The following is a 1,977-nucleotide window of genomic DNA, read 5'->3' on the forward strand; positions in this document are numbered from 1 at the left end:
GAAACCCTGTCTCTACAATAAATACAAAAATTAGCTGGGCATGGTGCACGCCTGTAGTCCCAGCTACATGAGAGACTGAGGTGGGAGAATTGCCTGAGCTTGGGAGGTTGAGGCTGCAGTGAGCCATAAGCCATGTCACTGCACTCCAGCATGGGTGTCAGAGTGAGACCCTGTCTCAAAAAAAAAAAAAAGAATTTAATTTAAACAGACACTCTTTGGACTGGGCATGGTGGGTCACGTCTGTAATCCCAGCACTTTGGGGGGCCGAGGAAGGTGGATCACTTGAGGTCAAGAGTTCCAGATCAGCCTGACCAACATGGTGAAACCCCGACTCTACTAAAAATACAAAATTAGCCGGGCTTGGTGGCGCATGCTTGTAATCCCAGCTACTTGGGAAGCTCAGGCAGGAGGATCGCTTGAACCCAGGAGGCAGAGGTTGTAGCAAGCTGAGATCACACCATTAGACTCCAGCCTGGGCAACAAGAATGAGACTCCATCTCAAAAAAAAAAAAATACATAAACAGATACTCTTTGATTTAAAATATACACCAATAATACACATTTTACATTTTGACATGTATAATTCAAAAAATTAACAGGCTAATCCCACTACTCAGAGATAACTTTTATTTATTGATTTATTTATTTTGAGACAGAGTTTTGTTCTTGTTGCCCAGGCTGGAGTGCAATGGTGTGGTCTCGCCACTGCAACCTCTGCCTCCTGGGTTCAAGCGATTCTCGTGCCTCAGCTTCCTGAGTAGCTGGGATTACAGGTGCCCGCTACCACGCCCAGCTATTTTTTTTTTTGCATTTTTAGTAGAGACAGGGTTTCACCATGTTGGCCAGGCTGGTCTCAAACTCCTGACCTCAGGTGATCCGCCCACCTCGGCCTCCCAAAGTGCTGGTATTACAGGCATAAGCCATCGCACCCATCCTTTTTTTTTTTTAAGACTTGTTTTATTTTAATGGCTGATCTATGTAATCACAAAGGCCAGTATGTACAGACAAAGGGGGAGCTTTTGTTTCTTCATCTCTTCGTCCTTCGACAAAGTGTTGATGATCCCCTCCTTCTTGGCCTGGAGGCACTCTTCACGTTGCTTTCGTGCTTCCTTGGTCTTAGGCCTGCAGGCCTCAGCCTGGTCAGCCAGGAGCTTCTTGCCGGCCTTGTCTGCCTTCAGCTTGTGGATATGTTCCATGAGAATCTGCTTGTCTTTGAACACACTCTCCTTCACCTTCAGGTACAGGCTATGATACATGTGGTGATTGATCTTCTTAGAGTCACGGTATCTTCTGAGCAGCGGGCGCAGAATCCTCATTCTGCTCACCACGTGACCTTCTCTGGCATTGGGGCATTGGCTGTACCCTTTCGCTTACCCGTGCCCATGTGCCTGCCCTTCCGGTGGGCCAAGGTGTTTTTCCGGCATTGAGCCTGGGAATGGACAGTCACAGGCTTACAGATAATCAGCCCATCTTTGATCAGCTTCCGGATCTGCTGTCGGGAGTTGGCACTGGCGATTTCATTGGCCTCATTGGGGTCCAACCAGACCTTCTTCTTGCCATAGCGGAGGACACTAGCGGCAGGCCTCTTCTGAAGCCCGAGCATGCTCATGGCTGCAGCCACAGCAGAGAAGAGAGATAACTTTTAGTAACATTTTGGTGTTTTCTTAAACATAGACTTTATTCTTTACTTGTTTGTGTGTGTGTTCCTCGCATAAGAACCCGGGCTGGCTCACACTGCGGCCTTCTCTCTGGCCTCTTCCCTCTTGTCACCATCTTCTTCTAGCTTTATTGAGGTATAACTGACAAATAAAAAGTTGTTGGTATTTGAGGTATGCAACCTGATGTTTCAGATGCTTGATATTCACAATGGTATCATTGTGAATGGTACCACAGTCAAACTAATTCACATACCGTGTGTGTGTGTGTATTGAGAGCATAAGTATACCATACAGCATTGTTAACTATCATCACCATGCT

At 46.7% G+C, this 1,977-nt stretch overlaps 1 pseudogene; it reads right to left on the minus strand.

The window, feature by feature from the left end:
* Positions 946 to 1,641, minus strand: RPL19P10 (ribosomal protein L19 pseudogene 10; annotated as a pseudogene).

Source organism: Homo sapiens, chromosome 5 (assembly GCF_000001405.40).
Source record: "Homo sapiens chromosome 5, GRCh38.p14 Primary Assembly".
Classification (NCBI taxonomy): domain Eukaryota; kingdom Metazoa; phylum Chordata; class Mammalia; order Primates; family Hominidae; genus Homo; species Homo sapiens.